Below are 21,149 nucleotides of genomic sequence, written 5' to 3' on the forward strand. Positions count from 1 at the left end.
TGAGTACCTGGCGAGGGGACCAGCACTCAGCAGTGAGGTCTTGTCTCCAAGTGCAAGGAGGGGCTGCCCAAGCAGCCCAGGGCATTCCATGGCTCCATGGGGGCAGGGAGACGATGGACATTGAGCCACGGAAGGTGGGCGTCACCTCTCATGAGCAAAGGGGGAGCCCAGGAAGAGACGAGGAGCCAGGAGCTGCAGTTGCCTGAGCCACAAGCCTCAGACATCCCAGGCAACGGCACAGCCCCAGCCCCACCATGAGCCTGAGCTGTCCTGGGACCTCTAGGGCCAATGACAGAGCCTCTCTGTGCCTCGACTTCTCTACCAAGAAAGGTTGACAGGAGTGCGCTTGTGGGGAAGTCGTGAGAATCAAAATGAGGTGACAGAAACACACTGAGTGCAGTGGCCCACACCTGTAGTCCCAGCATTTTGGGAGGCCAAGGCAGGTGAATCACTTGAGCTCAGGAGTTCAAGACCAGCCTGGGCAATGTGAAGTAATGCTGTCTCTACCAAAAATATAAAACTTAGCCAGGCACGGTGGTGCGCACCTGTGGTCCCAGCTACTCTGGGGCCCAGGAAGTTGAGGCCCCAGTGAGCCATAATCTCACTACTGCATTCCAGCCTGGGTGACAGAGTGAGACCATATCTCAAAAAAAAAAAAAAAAGAAAGAAAGAAAGTTAACAGACACAACAAAGCCTAAAGGGCTGCGGGCGCTGCACAGACGCAAAGCTTCCTGCATCACGCCTCTTACCTGCATCCTCCTTTTCTCCCTCTGCATTTTCTTGAAAGGGAGTTGTGATTCCTGAGTTCATCCTAAGCTCTGTGAGCATTCAGACTCAAGCCAGCATTTCAGCCACAGGAAACAGACAGCCCTTTAGGAATTGCTCTGCCCAGATAATCTGATCTAAGTCCTGCCCTTAGGTGGGGATTCGGGAGGGCTGAGCATCTCTCTAAACCTATTACGATTCTCTCCCAGGATGGGGATCATGGCTGTTCAGAAACTGTTCTTGTTTATGCTTCATTTGAATGGTTAATATTAAATCAAAGTGGACTAATTATAAAAATACAGGTGACAAGTATGTCGATAGGAGATAAATTTACGATAAGTGCTACACAGTCTCATTTAAAAGTAATCTGTAATAATGGAACACTCTAAACACGTTTAGCTCAGTACCCCTTGTAATCTACATGACTGCGGAAGCCTCCGCTAGGACCTGTGGGAGGGGGCCAGGCACCTGAGCAGCAAGAGGCCCCACGGAGGCTGAGATGCTCCCAGGGGCATCAGGGTGGTCCACGGCTAGCCCCAGTCTGGGAAGGAGCAGACATTCACATGGCCCTGGGAATCCTAGAACTGGCTCCAAGACTCCAGGGCTTCTCCTTCTGGAGACGCCATCCTTGGCTGTCTGCATCTCTCTGTAGCAAAGTTGATTCTTGTTCAATGGAGTTGCTTTAAAGAGGATGTTTCTCTGTTACTTGCTAAGATTGTGGCCATACGTTAGTTTTTTGTTTTTGTTTTTTGTTTTGTTTTGTTTTGTTTTGTTCTGAGACAGGTTCTTGCTCTGTCACCCAAGCTGCAGTGCAATAGCACATCATGGCTCACTGCAGCCTCGAACCCCCAGGCTCAACTGATTCTCCTGCCTCAGCCTCCTGAGTATCTGGGACAACAGGTGTGTGCCACCACACCCAGCTCATTTAAAAAAAAGATTGTGGAGATGAGGGTTTTGCTGTGTTTCCCAGGCTGGTCTCAAACTCCTGGGCTCAAGCAATGCCCCCTCCTTGACCTCCCAAAGTGCTAGAATTACAAGCACGAACCACCGTGCCCAGCCAGATATTTTAGTCAGGTCCAACACTTCAGGGCAATTACAAAATAAAGATGCAGCCATGATTCCCAAGTGAGAGCTCGACATATAATATTTTATCTGTGGGGAAAATTCAAGAGGAGCAATGAGCAGAAAAGGGAACTCAGCTCAAGGGAACTGTGCCTGAGGAGCAGTACCTGGCATCAAGTGCATCTGTGGGACGGCGTGGACAGTGCCTACGGGCTCCAGCCCCAGTCCTACCCACACAGGACTCAAGGCCACTGGTGTTGTGTGGCATCTCGAGGCTCAGCGCATGTGATCCTGTGTGTGGGGTTGTGATCCCCACCACGTGCCCGTCTCTCAGCTGCAACAAGGGTCAAATGAGAGGTCCCAGGACTGTCAGTGACGGTCTCACCATTCCCAGGAAAGCCTGTCCTCCCCCTCAGCACCCTGCAAGGAGGAAGATGTGCATGCGATAGAGGTTTTACTCACACAAGCTCAGCCCGTTGGTCTAAACCAAGAGGAACAAGGCCCTTTAAAAAGAAGATAAAAATCTGGTAACTGCTTTGCTGCGAGTCGAATTGTGTGTCCCAAGATGATATGTTGAGATCCTAACCCAGCTGCCTTTGAATGTGACCTTATTTGGAAGGACAGTCTTAGAGATAGAACCAGATTCCAGTGAGGTCTTACTTGATTCCTGTGGACCCTAAACCTGATGACTGGTGTCGTTACAGGAAGGGGATGGGAGACACAGAGACATATGAGGAGGAGGCGTTTGCAGGTGGAGGAAGAGCCTGGAGTGACGTGGCTGCAGCCACAGGACTCAGGGATGGCCAGTGACCACCGGAAGCCGGGAGAGAGGCCAGGACAGATCCTCCCGCCAAGCCTCCTGGAAGAACCAACCCTGCTAACTCCTTGAATTCATACTTCTAGCCTCTGAAACTGTGGGAACCAACATGTCTACCCCAAATCATGTGGTCTTATGGGTGCAGCTGTCTCTGCAGAGCAGAGCTGATGTGGCACTCCCTAGGGGCAGAGTCATGGGCTGAAACTGCCCCCACTGCAGCGGGGGCTGCCCCGACACAGCCACCTCAGAGGTTAACACCGCATCTGAACCCAGGCCTAACTCAGCCCTGAGTCTGGTCTGATGATGAAGCAGCAGCACCCACACAGCGCGTTACAAGGCGAAGCTCCCTGCTCTGTTCTGCACGGTCGTCAGGAAAGCGGCTCATCTGGTAACGGCGTCCATGTAAATGCAAAAACACGCTCACGTTCAGCTCCTCCATAAGAGGCTTCTAAAAGCGTCGCTGCTGGCGCCTTCTCTCCAGCTGAAGGGCCTTGTCTCAGGGCCCAGGGACAGAGGTCCTGGAGCTGTACCCAGCATGGGAAGAAAGAGACCAAGGGTTCCCTTTAACATCCCTACGACAGCCACATTGCCTTAGTGTTCACTGTCCAGAGAAAGACAACTTCCGTGAAATGCCCGAGTGAGGCTCTGCTAGTTTTTGGAGGATCTGATGTAGGAGAAGACGTGAACCTTCCACGCAGGGCAGGGAAGGGGGCAACCATCACTGGATGTTGTACAATTAATTTCATTACAAGAAAACCTCAAACACGTGTTCACCAGGAGGGCGATGTTTCCAGTGTTGAGGAGAAAGACGTGATGGAAATTAAAGGGACATGAGCACCGACTATAACACATGCTGATGCCAGCAAAGACTGCGGCGCCAGGCGACGGCACCGCCCTCAGATCCGGAGCCAGCAGCGGTCCAGATGGTGACCGACCCACCCCAGGAAGCCAGAAGCTTCGTGGCTCTTCAAATGAAGTCTCTTTCAGAAGTCTGCCTGCCGGGGCCTTTGTGTTACCTGGTTCCACGGCCTGATTCCGTATCATCATGGCACCAGCGAGACTTCCTCCAGGGTAGTCATGACAACTACCCCAGACTCATCACCTACAGGTCTTTAGATTAACCTGAGAATTTGGTGAACCCCTGTGAGCTCCAGTGAGGCCAAAGCTACCTCTGTCTTTGAGCAGGGCTGTGGGTTGTGTAGCTGTCTAGATCCACATTCCCAAACTTCACTGTGCTTGAGAATCTCCCAGGAAGCCAGTTCACACACACATGCCCGGATCCCGTCTCAGATGCCCCAGTGCAGTGGCTCTGCCTCCTAAAGGGAGATCAGCCAGCCTTTTCTGTCAAGGACCAGAGAGTGAATGTGTTTGGTTTTGTGAGCTGGAGGGCTCTGCTGTGGTACAGAGGCAGCTACAGACAGCCAGTGCCTGCGTGGTGGGCTGCAGCCCAGCGTTGCTTTGTTCACAGACGCTGTGGTCTGAATGGCATGGAACTTTCACGTCGTGAAATATCATTCTTCTTTGGAAACTTCCAACATTTAAAAGCGTGAAGTCCCCTCTTAGTTGGTGAGCCATACAAAACACAAGGCCAGCCACACTGGGCACCTGAGCCCTCATTTCAGACCCCTGATTACGGCTGTCAAACAACAGTGCATCCCTCTCAGGGGAGCCTGACTTCTGTTGACTGTCACTGGCTTCAGTCATCTTTAAAACTCATTTTCAGGGGTAGACGGGCACACAGACGCACCACCCAGAGACACCGCAGAGCACACACCAGCCAGGCACGAGAGGAGCTACCATGCCCGCTGTGGGCAGATGTTCTTCACACTTCCCGGGGTCTGGTGGGAGGGTCTGAGCAGCCCACTGCATGGAGAGGCATCTTCAGAAAAGCCTGACCATAGCTGGGTTCCAGGGGTTCTACCGGGAGAGGACCTCAGGCCTGGGGATCCTGGGCCTGGTGAAGCCTTGGTTTGACCCTAAGTTCTGTATAGCATCAGAAGCATCTGCAGACATGAGAAGGGAGCCCGGAGGCCCGGTCTGCTCCACCTCCAGCCGCCTGTCCCCACCCACACCACCACCTGCCAAGGCCCCTAGAATCTCCCTTTGGGACCCCCAACCCAAGCTGTCAAGACTGTCCTCAGCTCACTCCAGAAGCACGTGTGGCTCAGCAGAAACCCTCAGGACCCTCACACACTTAGGAGGGATGCTGAACTCACCAGGCCTCACTCCTGAGCCCCCGCTCCTTTCCCAGTATGTGCAGAGTCCTCAGCCAGTCAACAGATACCTGCAAGGAAAAGTGCCCAGGGCCAGGGCTGTGTTAGGTGCTGAGGGGGGTGGTTAGAGGGCTGGGGGGCCGTCCGTTGGGAGATCAGGGTGCAGGGCCAGGGCTGTGTTAGGTGCTGAGGGGGTGGTTAGAGGGCTGGGGGCTGTCAGTTGGGAGATCAGGTGCACTGATCCCTGTTTCACAGGAGCACGGGCGGTGTGCAGACCTGACACTGAGGCTCAGAGCACTTCCGAAGAGAAACGGCATCCAGGGAGAGGGTTAACAGATGAGTAGGGCTCAGCTGGGACAGAGGCAGGGGCAGGGCTGGGTGAGGACACTGTGCTATTGTGGGCAAGTGTTGGCTCCTCAAAATGCTACATCCACCCAGAACCTGTGACTGTGACTTTATTTGAAAAAAAAAAAAGGGTATTTGCAGATATAAATAAGTTAAGCAGCCTGAGATGAAATCGCCTTGGGTTATGCTCAGCCCTAAATTCAATGACAAGTGTCCTAAGGAGAGAAGGATAGAAGACCCACAGAGGAGGTGGCCATGTCACAGTGAAGGCAGAGACGGGAGCAATGCATCAACCACCCAAGGGACACCAGGGATATCTGGAACTGCCAGAAGCCAGGAGAGGGCCTGGAACAGATTCACCCTCAAAGCTTCAGAAGGAACCAGCCCTGATGCCACCTGGGTTGCAGATTTCCAGCCCCCAGAACCCTGAGAGGATGACTTTCTGTGGTTTCCAACCCTCTGGCCTGTGGTGTTTGGTTACAGCAGGTGTGAGATGGAACCCTGGGTGCGTGGGAGCGAGACAGAGTTGAGAACAATGGAAAAATTCAGGCAACTCCATGCAGCAGCAGCACCTTGTGTGTGGGGCCGGGGGAAAGGCGGGAGATAGGCCACTAGGAATCCCCAGGTGTCTGAGGATGAGGGGGAGCCATCAGGGGCTTTATGCAGAGCAGCCATGTCCGATTTACAGGTGGAAAGATCCCTGACTCCCTTCAGTGAGGAAAAGTGATTGCAGGAGGATAAGGTGGGTGAAAGGAGAATGTCTAGAAGGTTCATGTGGAAATTTCGATCCTATTTGGTATAATTTAGGAGGAAAACAGGCCGGGGCTAGGAGGGAGAATGACCTGCAGAGTCAGCTGGTGGAGGCTGGAGCAGGGCTGAACAGGGACAGCGTCTTGGGTTCATGGTCACAGAGTCCCCTGGGAAAAGGGAAGCAGCACTCTCTGTGTCCACGGGAACTGAAGGGACTGAAATTCGTGAGCAATCCAGACCTAGGCTGTCCCAGAGCAGTTGCCCTTCCACCACCCCACGTGGCTTACCATGGCCATCAGCAAGGAGCAAATGGTATGAATGGGGGTTCTGTCTTGCACTGGCCCGAGTGCAGGCACAGAAGTCAGGGGCAAGCAGGAGGGAGCAGCCAGGAGCTGAGGGGTTCCCAGACAGCGGGAGGCAGCAGGGCCTCATCACACAGACCCAGAGGGGCCTACAGAGCCCTAGAGAATCCTAGAATCCCTGGAGAACCCTGGGGAACCCTGGAGAACCTCAGAGGAATCTGGAGGACCCTAGAGAACCCTGGAGGACCCTGGGGAACCCTGGAGACCCGGAGGACTGTGGGAAAGTCTGAAGGACTGTGGAGAATCCCAGAGGACCCTGGAGGACCCTGAAAGACCCTGGAGAATCCCAGAGCCATAGGACTACGGAGGTCAACCTGAGACCTTGTGCTGTGCATGTTTTCCTTCCCCAGTGGACACACTGTCTTCCTTAGATATCAATGACAGTTGGAAAATCATTTCCTCGGTTCATCTTTCCAGAAAAATACATGGCACCCAGCTATAAAAAGTAGTTCTGAGTGCCTGCACTGTAACCATTTAAAAAAGCGATTACCTATCAGAGGGTAACTAGTAATCATGAGATTACTTTCTAAATACACTTCAGAAGAGATGGGCAAAAGGGTTCCACACAACCTCAGTATTTCTCTTTTGAAGGCACAGGTGGACTTGCACAATTCTCAAGGCAAGCTTGAGAGAAAGGGAGAATAAAAGTGCCAGAGGCTTGAGCGATGCTGGTGTATATTTCTAGAAAGGAGACAGAATTTCATTTTCTCACTTATTATCCCCTATGATGTGTCACCAGTGGTGTGTGAAGGGAAAAATGGAGAGGACCACAGTAAATTTTCCCACTAAGCTAAAAAGATTAGGGAAGAGGCAATGCAACCTCTTAGCGGGTGTTTCTCTTTGAGCTTAAAAAATTGGTTTACTAAGCAAACCTTGTAATAGTCTCATTGGCTAAGAAAATGAAGGAAAGAAAGCAGACCCAACGAAGGAGTCTGACAGCCAGAAAAAGTTGTCTTAATAACCTAGTTTGGGTAAATGTCCTCAGAATGCTTTTTAAAAACTATAAACATGAGGTATGGTTCTACTAAGATCTATTTTCTAAACATCACATTGCCACTGCCGCTAAAATGACTTCTCACAATAGTGTTTTGGGAGGAGGGCACTTACCCTGCAAATTAGAAGCCTGGATTTTTCTTCTCTGATTGTCTGCAGAGAGCATGGGTCATCTTGGAGGAGGGTCTGTCTTTCCTCCTCTGAGAAACAAGGGTGGTTGGCATCTGCCCATCATTCCCCAGGGAGCCTCAAGGGCATCTCAGTTGGCGCACGTCCTCCGAGGCAGGCAAAGCCAGAGAAGCAGAGCTAGACTGTTCTGTTTCCATGCTTTCCTGGCGTTCCCGACTTGGGTCCAAGGAGGAGGCGACTGGCACCTGGATTTTCACAAAGCGTCAGCCTCATGCCTGAGCTGATGCTTCCACATTCAAGATCTCATTTAATCTGTGAAATTCCCCTTTATGCAGAAGCTGCTCACTGTCCCCTTTGAAAGATAAGGCCCAAGCTGCAGAGTTTGAGACTGGTGTAGGGTCATGCAGCTTGTGGCATTCAAACTCCAGCCATCACTGGCTAAAAAGACTAAGATGGTTGGGGGTGGGGAGCACAGAAGAAAACTGTGGCTTTAAAAAATTGAGTTAATATTTGTATAGCACTTAGACCAGAGACTGGGACGTCGTAAATGCCCTATAAGCGTTAGTTCTTGAAACCAAGGCATTTGGGCAAATATTATACATTTTTATTTTATTAATTTTCCAGAACCCGTTTGAACCATGAAGCCATTTGTGCATATAAGCATCAAGAGAAGAATCTTCCTAACAGTGTACACTTTTCAAGAGCACGATCATATTTTATATTCCTGAGGATCCTGTCTGATTCTGTTTTTTTTTTTTGAAACCTTTAAAAAATTGTTTTGTTTTGCTGCTGAGAGCAATAAATTGTTTGGAAAGTATTAATGCAAATATGCAGACTCACCATATTTTTGCTGTGTGAGTTCTAATCCCTGCTCTTACACATGGATAACTGAGGGGGAGCCAGTAACTTATTTTCTTGGAGTCTCAGTTTCTTTTTCAATAAAATAGGAGTAAAAATGCTTTGTATGTATTTGTCGAGCACCTCGTATGCATGAACTTCCAGGTTCATTCTCAGGGAGTCACAGCCAGTGCTTTGTGACCATTGAACCAATGTGTTGAGATGTTGATAAGGAACAAGGCGAGGCAAACCTGTATTTTCAATTTCTCAAGGGCCACATGAACAAGCTCATTGGGCTCTAGACAACAAAAGGCTGCCCTTCCCCAGAACCCGGGGGGAACAGGAGGAATACGTCTCACTTCCCATTCCCAGACAATGGCACACAGTCAGAGCCTGTCTCTGTGAGGTCTGTCCTTTTCCTGTCCCTCATTCTTTTTCTCCCACCCTCCTTTCATTTCTTCTCTCCTTCTCCTCCTCCTCCTCCTCCCCTTCTCCTTCTCCTTCTCCTTCTCCTTCTTCTTCTTATTCTTCCTCCCCTTCTCCTTCATAGGTGTTTTGCTCTGTATACCAGGCTGGAGTGCAGTGCCATGATCACAGCTCAGTGCAGCCTCTACCTCCCAGGCTCAAGTGATCTTCCCACCTCAGCCTCCTGAGTAACTAGGACCACAGGCAGGTGCCATCGTGCCTGGCTAATTTAAATTCAAAAAAAAAATTAAATTTTAGAGATGGGGTCTCACTATGTTGTCCAAGCCGGTACAACACTCTGAGCTCAAGTGATCCTCCTGCTTTGGCCTCCCAAAGTGCTGGGATTACAGGCATGAGCCATGGTGCCCAGATTTATTTTTTTTTCCCTTTTCTACTTATCCCCCACTTGCATTCCATCACCAGCCTGGGGGAACAGCCCTCACCTGCCTGCTGTGTATCTTTGATTCTTATCCTAATGAAACATACGAGTACTGTTTTCCATGTGTATATATTTGTAACTATTTTATTAAAAACAATGTAGAGAACACAAATACAACACTCAGTAAATTACACACAATAAAAATAGGCATAAACGTCTTCCAGGTCAAGAAAATAGGATATCACCAGCATCCAGACACCCCATGCCACCTTTGGGTAACTGCACCCTGCTCCTTGAAGCTAAGCACCGTCCTGTGCTCCAAAAGCACAAACTCAATCTAAATACAACTGTGACACACACTCCATGGTGACTGACGTCTTTCACACAACATTGCATCTGCGAGACTCACCCATGCTGTTATGGGCAGTTTCACTGGTTCATTTCACTGCTGCTTTTGAGGGATCGTTAGCAGGCCTTTTACTTTTTAGCAATTCAGATTTTGATTTAACATGTTGTAAATTACACAAGACAATATTAGTTTTGTTTTTACAATCAATGTACTTTTAAATGGACTCACAAATTTACCTTTTCCAACATAAATGTGCATGTATACACAACAAAACATCTGCATGGGAATGCCTGTGGCAGCCCTTTCCACAGTAGCTCCAAGTTGGAAGCAACTTGGATAAGTATCAGCATAATGACGGATGAATACACGTTGGTGCATTTATGCAGCAGAATACTATGCTGGACCAGCCTCTCATATGCCTTCTCAGCGTGACCTTCAGCACAGCGGGCTGAGAACATGGTGCGCCCCTGCACCTGTTCCCTTCCCCCTGTGGATCACGAGCTCCGTTTGTGTCTTCTCAATGCGGTGGAACCACTGAACACCCCTCCTGCTTTCCAGAGGCAAAGTTGGTTTACCAGCTGTGCACTGGAGCCTCCAGTGTGCAATCTTATGTCTCTGGACTTGGAGACGGCCAATGGCTTTGTTGATGTTTCACCGAAGCAAAGCCCCCATTCACAGCTTTTCCCTTGTGTCCAGAACTGACAAGCAGCCCCAGAAAACAAGCGTGTCTGGTGTGTCTGTGCTGACCCTCCAGTTCTCACAGCTCTGGCAGCTCTGATCCTATCAAAACGACTATTGTGTTTTTCTCATTGTCCTCAGAGGGGGATCGGTCTGCCTCAGCTGCTCCATCCTACCCAGAAATGGAAATGATCCTAAAACTGTAGCATTCCCCTTCAGGTTGAGAACAACAGCTCATCTGGAATTACTATTTATGTGTTGTGGTAAATACGGAAAGGAGAACCCACAGACCCATCGCTGTTCATTGCCCTGTGCTCTGTGGTGCCGGCTTTGCCATAGATCCAGAGTCCACACACAGGAGGGATTGTATCTGGACTCCATTCTGCCATATTGGTCTCTATGTCTCCCTTCGTTCCCATAACCCATGTTTTTAGATAGCACAGAAAATAAATACTGATATGAAGGAAAAATGTTCTCACACTTTTTCTTCCTCTTAAGTAAGACCTTGACTATTTGGAGAGTTTGCATTTTCATATCAATTTTAGAATTTGCTTGTACATTTACAAAAGTTAAATAAATAACCCTCTCCCCCTACACAGATATGCCCATGCCTGTGCACGCGCACACACACACAAACCTGTTGGCATTTTGATCGATATAGCTTTGCCTCTATAGGTAAATTTGGGGAGATTAACAGCTTTACAGTATTGAATTTTCTGATGCATTCATCTCACATATCCTTCCATTTAATTAGGTCTTCTTTGATTTTTCTCAGCATTGTTTTCCCAGCTTTTCTAATTGTTCTCTGTGGTAGTTTTGGTCTAAATTAACTTGCCCATTATTTCCAAAAGAACCCATGCATGTGTTATTTTAATTTACATGAAGAATATAATGCTATAGGCATTCTGTTTTACTTATTCATCCAGCTCTATAGTTCCTGTTAATTTATGAATATCTACTTTATTGCTTCTAATTGTTACTTAGTAATCCAGCAGCGTCCTTAATATATAAGGAAACCTTGTAAAGTAATAAAAATTAAAAAGACAATAAAGGGATAACAAATAAAGACATAACATTCCCACAGAAAGCCATGCAAAGGGGCAGTATGTGTGTGAGAAACACCAAATCTCATTAATAATCAAATTAATGATTTGATTATGAATGACAGAGTCACTCTCATTGACTCCTGTTGGGAGCTAGAAATCAATCTGTCAATAGCTATCAGGATGAAGATTGTGTAGGTGCTTTGATGTGGCAGGTTCTCTTCTTGGCGTGCATCAGACAAAAGCCCCATCACAAATTCACCAAGTACGAAACGTGATCACCATCGTGGCATTAAGTGTAATTGAAAAATGAACTCAAACAACTTACATGTTTATTAATAGAAGACTAAGTGCATGAATTCTTGGTACAAGTGAAATGCTTTGCAGCCGTTAAGACATAATCTAAAAATCTTATTTATAAAGATGCTGAAGTCATGTGAAGCGAAGAGCGAATTTCAGCAGTGTGAGCGTGTGGTTGGATGGTCTCCCTTTGCAACAGTGCTGGTTTTGATGGAGTTCAGCTCCTGGCTTTGTGCCACTCTAGGCATATTTCACAACTTTTCTGTGTCTCATGACTAATCTGCTTAAAGTACTTAGATGCAGCCAGGCATGCAGAAAATGATGAATCAATGTCATCTATTATAAGTAAAATGCACCCATAAAATAATAATTATAATACACGTATAGGAAGAGATCTTAAAGAATAGACACAGTATTTTCATAGTGATTATATCTGACTTTTATTTCCAAGTTAACTATGTTTGTGATATTTAACTTTAAATTATTTTATGATGGTTTTGTAATTGTTTATAACTGGAAAACATAATATAGAAAGAATGCAGAAATTTTTAAAGAGAAAGTGCTGTGGGCATCTTCCTGGGTGCTGGATGCCCATTCAGCCAAGCCTCGGTATCAACTTGGAGGGCGAACATCACGCTGAAGACGCAGCCCCGTGGGAAATGGAAAACACCGTGGTGTTCCAGGTGCTCCACACCCCAAATGCACAGACAGTGACTCCGGCAGGGAGTCCCTGAGCCCTGGGCACAGAGTGATTTGTTGAAACTTAAAAAAAAAAAAAAAAAAAAAAAAGATGGTGGGCGTCTGTAATCCCAGCTACTCAGGAGGCTGAGGCTGAGGAGAATCTCTTGAACCTGGGAGGCGGAGGTTGCAGTGAGCCAAGATCGCGCCATTGCACTCCAGCCCAGGCAACAGTGCGAGACTCTGTCTCAAAACAAAACAAAACAAAAAAACAAAAAACTTAGCAGTTATTCTCTCCTTCCTCGTATTAACTTTTAGGGGTTATTATGCATTATTTTTCCATTAAGAGACCAGATAAATAACAATGCAGTTGACATTAACATTAGTGAGTTTTACTCTAGACCTCAGGTAAACTTTTAGAACGATTTAAGGGCTTTCAGCTACCCATGCAAAGCCATTAAAGTTCCTGTTTAGCAGCTCAGGTGACAAACGTACATGGCTAATTTAGAACGCAATGAAGAAGCAGGTGGGGTTGATTTAGAATATCTGTTTAGAATCTTCTCTACGTTCATGGGATAGAGGCTCAATCGTCAAGCGTCTTAGCCGTGTAACAACTGAGCCAAGTTGATCGTCACCTTGCACGGGCGGCTGCTCTGATTTGAACCCTTCTCGTGACGACTCACCGTATGCCGTACTTGGGAGAGAACACAAAGGGCAGAATGATCGCACCGAGTCCAAAGGAAGACGGAAGTTCATGTGCTCAGGCTTGCAGCAGAAGTGAGAGGATGCCTCCCACAGGAACGAACGGAAGAGCGTTTGATGCAGGACCATTTGGCGGTGCGGTCAGGGTGAAGACGTTCAAGATGCAGATGCACTCAGGATCTACTAATAGAAAGAGGGGCCGCCCCAACCTCAGGCCTTCAGGGGCGAAGGGTGAGCCTGGTCTTTTTTTTTTTTTTTTTTTTTTTTTTGAGACGGAGTCTCACTGTCGCCCAGGCTGGAGTGCAGTGGAGGGTGAGCCTGGTCTTGATGGAAGGGTGGGGTCAAGGGAGGAAGAAGCTGGCTGGCGGGGGAAGGGGAGTAGACATCTCCCCCGCCCTCCTCTTCCTCCTGCTGAGGCTCCCACCGGCTCAACCCACCCGGAACGAAAGGCTAGGCTCCCAGCGCTGCTCTCTCTGGGGGCTGAATGTCTGGGGTGCAGGGCAGTGAAGGGCTCTGGGGTGCAGCAGACGTCACTCTGTCATCAACGGCTAAAGGACAATGTGACTAAAATAACTAAGAACAATGCCCAGCTTTCCTTTCCACTTGACGCTGATTCTGAAGATGGCGGTGACCTTCAAGTGCCCTCAGTGCCAGGAACAGTGCCCACTCAGAGCAGCTGCATTCACCAGCCGGTGGGCATGGATTTCTGCAGCAGGTCCGTGGTGCCAGGATTATGGCTAAGAAGAATACAGGGCTTGGAGATCCCAGTCTTCACTGCCGCCCCTCCAAACTCAGTTCTGTGGCTTCCATTCTCCATGGAGTTCACTCTAGGGGCAGGGTCATCTTCAAATTATAAATCAGATTATGTCACTTCTCTAACTGAAAGTTTTCAGTAGTTTCTCAATGCTCTCAGAATAAAAATAAATACAAATTCTTCATGCTTGCCCTAAGGCCTGCATGCCCCACCATGCAAGCTGCTTCAGCTGGTTCCATCCATTCCTCCGCTGGGGTCCTCAGGCCCTGCCCTCCTGTTGGCCCAGCCCAGGCCCTGCCCTCCTATTGGCCCCTCCCAGGCCCTACCCTCCTGTTGGCCCTGCCCCATGTGGGGCACTGCCCCTGCATGCTGGTGTAGGCAGCCTGGCTCCAGAACCTGTCCCCTACAGGCACTGCTGTAACCACAACTATATCCCCTGGTGGAGGCATTTCACCTCTGGGCACCAACACTTTTACACCTTCAGAGCCTCCAGTGGTGAGACGAGAAGCACGAATGTCCTGGTTTGGTCATTAGAAGTGGTGTTGAGTGGAGCCACCGCTACGCTCATCTGTTGTGTCTGCGTCTCTTGAGAGGGCATTGATTTAGGATGAGGATTGCATCTTGGTGGATGATGCTCCCTTCTCATAGGAAGAATCTGAGCTGATGCCTCACCTGCACCTTCCAGAGGCCATTCTCAGGCTCTCCAAGGCTGAGGCCTTCTAGGTCTTCTAGTGATGCAGGGCAGAGTGCAGGATGTGACAGGACCCGTGGGTGCCTGGGTCATGGGCCCACTGCCACACCTTCTTCATTGTAGGATGAGACAGGACCCGTGGGTGCCTGGGTCACGGGCCCACTGCCACACCTCCTTTGTTATAAAGTCAGTCTCTTGGTGGAGTGAGGTCATAAGTGGGACCCTAACTTGGAGGATAAAGCTCTCTATGCATCCTCGCATACCAGCACTACGCAAAGCCCTATAGGCATAGGCAGACCAGGTAAACCCACATCCAGGATATGTGTTGATTCTAGCCAGGGTGAATCACTGTCCTTTAAGATGGAAGAGGCTCAGTGTATCAATCTGATACCAAGTTCCTGGTTGGTTTTTTCAGGGGATGATGCTGTACAAGGAGCTCAGTATTGGTTTTTATTGCTGGCAGTTTAGACATCAGGCAGCATCCATAGCTGGATTAGCTGTAATAAACAAAGGCCCAAGCTGTTGGGCCCAGGAATAAGCTCCGTCACTGTTGCCTTGCCTATCTGCTCATATGTCCGCTTGCCAGCACAGGTGTGGCCATTCTGCCAATTACTAGCCAAGCTATTCTGCCCATTTGTCTGTTGAGTGGATGCTCCCTGATGGATGCCAGCTTGCAAGACAAGAGGCTCACACTCTATGTCCACTCCTGGAGCCCCATCTACCCATCTATATGCTGCTGTCCCACTCCTCTCGTCCTCAGCCTTCTACACTTTGTCTTTCCAGGATCCCAGGCAACCAGTCAGGCCATTTGCCAGTGCTTGTAATTGTGCATATATTCTTGACTTAGGCTACTCCTCTCTCTGCTCAAAGTGTATGAGCAGGTTAATTCCCAGAGTTCTACCCAGTGGGAGACCGTTCAGCCCAGTGCTACAAATGGAGCTGCTACGTGGCTGAGTATCTGGTAGTTCAGGGTCTTCTATCATGAGTTAGCCAAGTGTTGTGGGGCTCAGTTTCGTAGATTAAGTAGGTACATAGTGGTGACCACTATCCCTGCATTCTTTAAGCCTTTGATAGTGGCAATAATCTCCAACATTCCCTCCAGAGATGCAGTCTTGTTTTTTGCTGTTGTGATTTGGTTTGGTTTGTTTATTTTTTTTATTCCATTGGACAGAAAGAAGGATACTTGGGAGTTGGGGGACTGCCCACGGTCAAGACGTTTCCACTTGGCCCCCCAAATTATGATAGTTCCTATTCCACAGGTCATGGAACAAATATGAGAGTTCTCCACCTACCGATTCCAATCAATTTCAATGATAGATTCTGGGATGGGTAAAGTGGATGCCAGTGAGTGCAGCATCAGCTACGCCTGGGACGGGACTCCAGCACCGCCCTCCCCGACAGGCTCCCTACAGCAGGGGCCATGGTGGGCCTTTGGGCATCTGGATCAGCGATGCCTAGGACAGGACTCTGGCCCCACTCTGCCTGACAGGCTCCCTACAGCAGGGGCCATGGTGGGGATCAGGGTCAACGCAGACCCTGTGTCCAGCATCTCCAAAGGGCTATCAGGGGCTCCTTCCTGGGTGCGTGTTTGTGTAGGTAAGAGGTCGTGGGCTTTTCTAGGAAACTAATGAGAAAACGATTACCAAGCATATCTGACACCGTATTTTAGGAAACGTTCATAGGAACCTGCAGCCTAAACTTCATCCAGTGGGTTTTGGATCTCCGAACTAGTTCTGAGACCGACACTGGAAAACAGACTCTGTGACTTTAGAGGGGTGACCACCATGGCACCTTTTTCTCACTGGTTTTTCTCTCCCTTTACTTCGGGCAGTGTCTATTGCCCCCAGATTCACTGCTATTTTCTTCTGTGGTGTCTAATCTGCTATGAAGCCTGTCGAGTGAATTTTTAATTGTAGACATTGTATTTTCCAGCTCTGGACACATCACTTCACTTTATCCCTTTCTCATCTCATATGTTCCTGTTTTTCTCGGGATCTTTGAACATATTTCTAATAGTCTCAGTAAAGTTTTCATTTGCCGATTCCATCAACTCTTTCATTTCTGAGTCTGTTTTTTAATGGTTTTTTCTCTTCATTATAAGTTACATTTTCCTGCATCTTTGCATATCTCATAATTTTAAAAATATTAAACACTGGGTATTTTGAAAGTGACATTACTGCCTGTCTGGATTTTGTTTTCTTTTCCGGAGGTGTTGGCTTCTGCTCTGGCAGGCAGTTAAGTTACCTCCAGGTCAACGCGATCCACAGAGGCTCTCTTTGGAATGTGCCGGGCGGGGTATAGACTAGTGTGTTCCTCTCCTCGAGCAACCCTCTTCCTCTCTGAGCGTCACCCTTCTTGCTTTCCGACTGAATGCTGAGGCTCAGCAAAGCATCTTCATTTCAGATGAACAGAACTGCAATGCGACTCCCTGGTGAGAGCTCTGGAAGTTGCTCCTTTTCGTGGAGACTTGTGGACACTTGCTCTTTCCCTGATAGCTGGCCTTTGCCTGGCCTCCTGTGGTCTCATCCTACACACACAGAAAACTTCACATTTGCTGCGATGCAGGTTTTTGGAGCTCTGCCCTATTACAACTCCCCCCTCTTCAAGAATCTCCCCTGGGAAGTTTAGCCACCTCAGCCTCCCTGCATCCCCACTTCCGTGTCTTCAGCTCCATCCGAATGCTTTGTACTGGGCCAATTCTCCCTTCCGGTGCAGTCTTCTAGAAAATCCCTCCAGGCGGAAAGCCAGGGCATTCCCAGGGCGTGGGGCTCCCCTGACTGGGGTCACAGCCTTGCCCCCTTATCTGGGGTCACAGCCTTGCCCTGCCTGTTGTCCAGTGTCTGGAAACAGATGCTCATGCATTTTGTCTGATTTGCTAGTTGTTTACTGCAGGAGAGCAAGTTCTGTATGAGTGACTTCATAATGGGCAGAAACAGAAGTCCCAGGCTGGAGCTGTTCCCTCGATATTGTCCCTCTTCCAGGAAGGGGAGAGACACTGAAGAGCATCGCGTCATCTTGTGAGGCAGCGGTCCCCAACCATTTTGGTCCCAGCGATAGGTTTCGTGGAAGACAATTTTTCCACAGAACTGGCAGAGTGAGGGTGGGATGGTTTCAGGATGAAACTGTTCCACCTCAGATCATCAGGCACTAGATTCTCATAAGGAGCATGCAACCTAGATCCCTCCCATACACAGTTCACAATAGTGCTCAGGCGCCTATGAGACTCTAAGGCCGCTGCTGATCGCTGATGGGACAGGAGGCGGAGCTCAGGCAGTACCACTGGCTCATGCTCACCTCCTGCTGTGTGGCCTGGGTTCCTAGTAGGCCACGGACCAGGACCAGTCCATGGCCCGAGGGTTGAAGACCCCTGTTATAAGGCACCTATTTCACTTGTGGTCTTTGAATTATCTTTATCTTCCAAAACAATGAGACATGGAGTCATTCTTTCAGACACAGCAGGGGTCAGTGTGGGGCAGGGAGGGGGACATGGTGGATTCGTGGCTGTCAGTTACATCTACATGTACGGTCCCACTCCACGTCTCAGGTTCTGCCCCTCCCCAGCAGGGCCTGGCCCTGGCTCAGGAGAGCAGCCCCAGCTGCAGACGCCCCTCCTCTGAATCCCTGGAGATCTTCTCCTAAGTCCTGAGCTCATCCTTTGCTCAGCTCCGTCCATCCAGCTGCAGGTGATTGCGTTTACTTCCATGCTGCCCCGGGGCCTCTGCATTCAGCCTTAAGGTGGTGCTTAGTCCCCCAGAGATTCCCTCTTTTTGAGTGAATCAAAGGCTCCCAGCTGCAGCTGCCATTTCAAAGTCTGCACAGCCTTGACGGTTGTCATTTTCCTCACCGTAGCACGTGACTCCCCTTCAACTCTCATACTATTCTCATCACTGACAGTAAACGCTGTAACAAGTGTGCATTACAGCATGTCAGGAGGGGTCCGTACCCTGTACCCATCAGTATAAAGTCCCAGTCAGCACCATTTGGAGGAAGGTCCACCTCTCAAATCCCCTCCTACAGTCTTCTTTCTAGGACAACTCCCAGGGTGAAGTTAGCAGCATCTTACACTGGGTTCTCTGAAATAGACTGAGTTGGAGAGTCTCCTGCACAGGGCTTATTCCATGGGAGAGTGGGTGAGGGGCACAAGGGGGAGGAGCGTCCAAAGCTCTCTGCAGTGGGACAGTAGCAGGGCTGGTCTCCAACTGACCTCAGGGCCCACAGCATCCCCATTCTGTGCCCTTCTTATGAAAGAGTAGGGCCCCGTCCTTTGCCCGGCTCCTCACGTCCAGGAGCCTTGCCTCCGAACCCCAGATCTGGGCTGCTGGGGAGCCCTTGGGCTCAGTGACACTGTGGCCCTGGACCCTGCTTCCGGGGCCAGCTTTCTAACAGCAACTACAGTCTTTGCCTGAATGCACGTGGCTAAGATGAAAGATTCTAGGCCTTTTCTGAGGAATGGCACCGAAAATGGAACCATGGACAGGGGCAGGAGCTGAGCAGGGCTGGGGAGGCGCAGTGGGACCCTGCCTTGTCCTGAGGTCACATTGCATGGCTGAGATGAAGCCAACATCACAGGAGGCAAATGACCCCAGGCCCATCTCCAATTCTTCATTGGCCCTAACAGAACAGACAGAAGAGAGAAGCACAAGCAGTTCTGAGGGATGAGCACTGGAGACCTGGGGCCTGGCCGGGCTCCCTTGGGCAGTCTGCTCCCATCTCAGTGTGGGCTGTCAGCAGCAACCAGCACTGCAGCCTGGGAAGCGTGGACTTTCAAAATAGAGCCCTGGAAGGAGGGGCCAGGGCAGGTGGGGAGTGAAGGTTTTTCCCTTCCCATTTGCAGACATGGGAAGCCTAGACTTGCTTTGCAGGGGCTGGAGCAGCTGAGTCTGGGCAGCTGCCCAAGTTTTGGCCAGAACATCGGGTCAAGGCCGCTCCCTGATCCCTCTGCCTTTGCTATTTACTGAGCCCATCACTCATGTTTAGGCGACCTTGTTTTCTCAGATTACAGCTGGAACCAGTGACTTGAAGGGCCAGAACACCCTAATCAAGGACAGGGAAGGCATCCCTGTTGTGGTTGAGAGGAAAAGTGGCCCCTGGGCTGAACACCCAGGAAGTGAGTGGTCTTAAATTCCTGAGCACACACACACAACCCAATGGACACTTCCGTGCTTAAAACAAGAGCTAAGGCATTCGAAGCACCTGGGCTGTGAATGCCGGCACATCAGGCAGGGCCCAATGAAGCTCAAAGGGGATGCACACGGCGGGCGTGGCCTCTCCTGGGATAATCAGCTTGGTGGTTGCTACTGGGGAGGGGTGCGTGCTCTTCCTACCTCACCCTGCAACAACAGACACAGTCAGCCTCCCCACTCATAGACCAAGGAGCAGAGGCTTGGAGAGGGCAGCTGAACTGCCCGGCAGTGCAGGACGGAGCACGGTCAGTGTGCAGACAGCAGGGTGGAGGGGTGTGAGCCCAGAGTGGGCACCTCCTCCTCCAGCCATGTTCCCCTGGGCTCCCTGAACTCTTCCTCATTATGAAGCTGGAAAAACCCCAACTCTGAGGACGTAGCCCCTCCTCCACCCCTTCAGGATACACCTTCACTGCCGGGGTTACCTGGCCATTGCCCACGTTCTCCGGAGCTGCAGTGTGAGGCAGAGCTTCTGTCTGGCTCTCCTGGCAAGCCAAGGAAAAAGGGAATCAGACATGCAGTCAAATATCGGGGCGGGGAGGAAGGAAGACACATTTTTCATTCCTGCAGCACAACATCTGTCTTTTCTTCTTTTGAATATAAGACGTTTTCATCTGAGAAAAGTCTAGGTATTGAGAAGACCTATGGACCTGCATTTAAGTATTCCCAGCACCGCTGCCTTTGGCTCAGGAAAGCGTCAGTGGGTCCTCTCTCTGTTTAGAAACTGGAAGCAGTGGCGCCCTGCTCCTAGGCTGTCATCCACCCGGCAGCAAAGCCTTGACTATAGGCACATCGTAAAACTTCAAAAGAACATTCCCATCCCATCTCGTAAGCGGGGACTTTTGCAAAGGTCACGTAATAAATCTACCCAAACTATGGCCTGATTTCCTGACTTTTATTGGAGTTACAAATGAATGACCAATATCTGTGAGAAAATTCTTTTTATCTAGACAGATGTTTCTTTCAACAGTTAAATATGCAAGCCAGAAGGGGGGCATTTTCTCTGAACACATGAGGTAAATAACACGAAGGAAGTTCTATATGTCACTTCTAGACATCAAGGCTGTCTCAGCTTGGTAGTCTTAATCATTTTCAGAACCTGAAAATTAAACTATAGCTTGCTTAATTAACATAAATTTGGAATGAATAAACATTAATTTGGGCATATTTAAGTTTGCTCACCATGGGTATAATGTTGGCTGTTACCAAGCAATTTTCTCACCAGAATTCCATTACTGCCTCTTCACATGCTAGCTATTCTTGTATTTGTTTTCTTTCTGTAGAATTTGATTACAGCAAGTGTCTACAATGGTAAATGGAGATGCTGTGGAGAGGCTGCAGCAGATGACAACAGTTCTCAACCTGCGCAGGTTCTCATTGACAGACGGCCCCAGCTCCGCACACCTCCCCGGACCTGGTCCATCCATTCAGATGGCACGGCCTATACCGCCACCCCAATGTTGGCTTTGGCCACACCACCCACAGCCAACTCCCTGGAGCAGGAGACTTTGTGCGTGGCTGCTGTCCGAAGCTGAAGAAGCAATGCATATGTGGGAGACCTAACTGTCTGAGTGTGGCAGGGATGGAAGGACTGGGAAACCCAGAGGAACAAAGGGTCTGTAGTGAGAGGGCCTTCCTCTTCTGGGGAAAGAAGCCA

At 49.4% G+C, this 21,149-nt stretch overlaps 1 annotated feature.

Moving 5' to 3' along the window:
- Nucleotides 19,203-20,182: an enhancer, noted in NCBI's record as "H3K4me1 hESC enhancer chr10:133224627-133225606 (GRCh37/hg19 assembly coordinates)". NCBI's record gives its function as "activates a minimal SCP1, AML or CMV promoter by ChIP-STARR-seq in primed H9 embryonic stem cells {active_cell/tissue: H9 hESC(primed)}" and the evidence as "EXISTENCE:reporter gene assay evidence [ECO:0000049][PMID:30033119]".

The sequence above is a fragment of the Homo sapiens genome, chromosome 10 (genome assembly GCF_000001405.40).
Source record: "Homo sapiens chromosome 10, GRCh38.p14 Primary Assembly".
In the NCBI taxonomy this organism is placed as follows: Eukaryota; Metazoa; Chordata; class Mammalia; order Primates; family Hominidae; genus Homo; species Homo sapiens.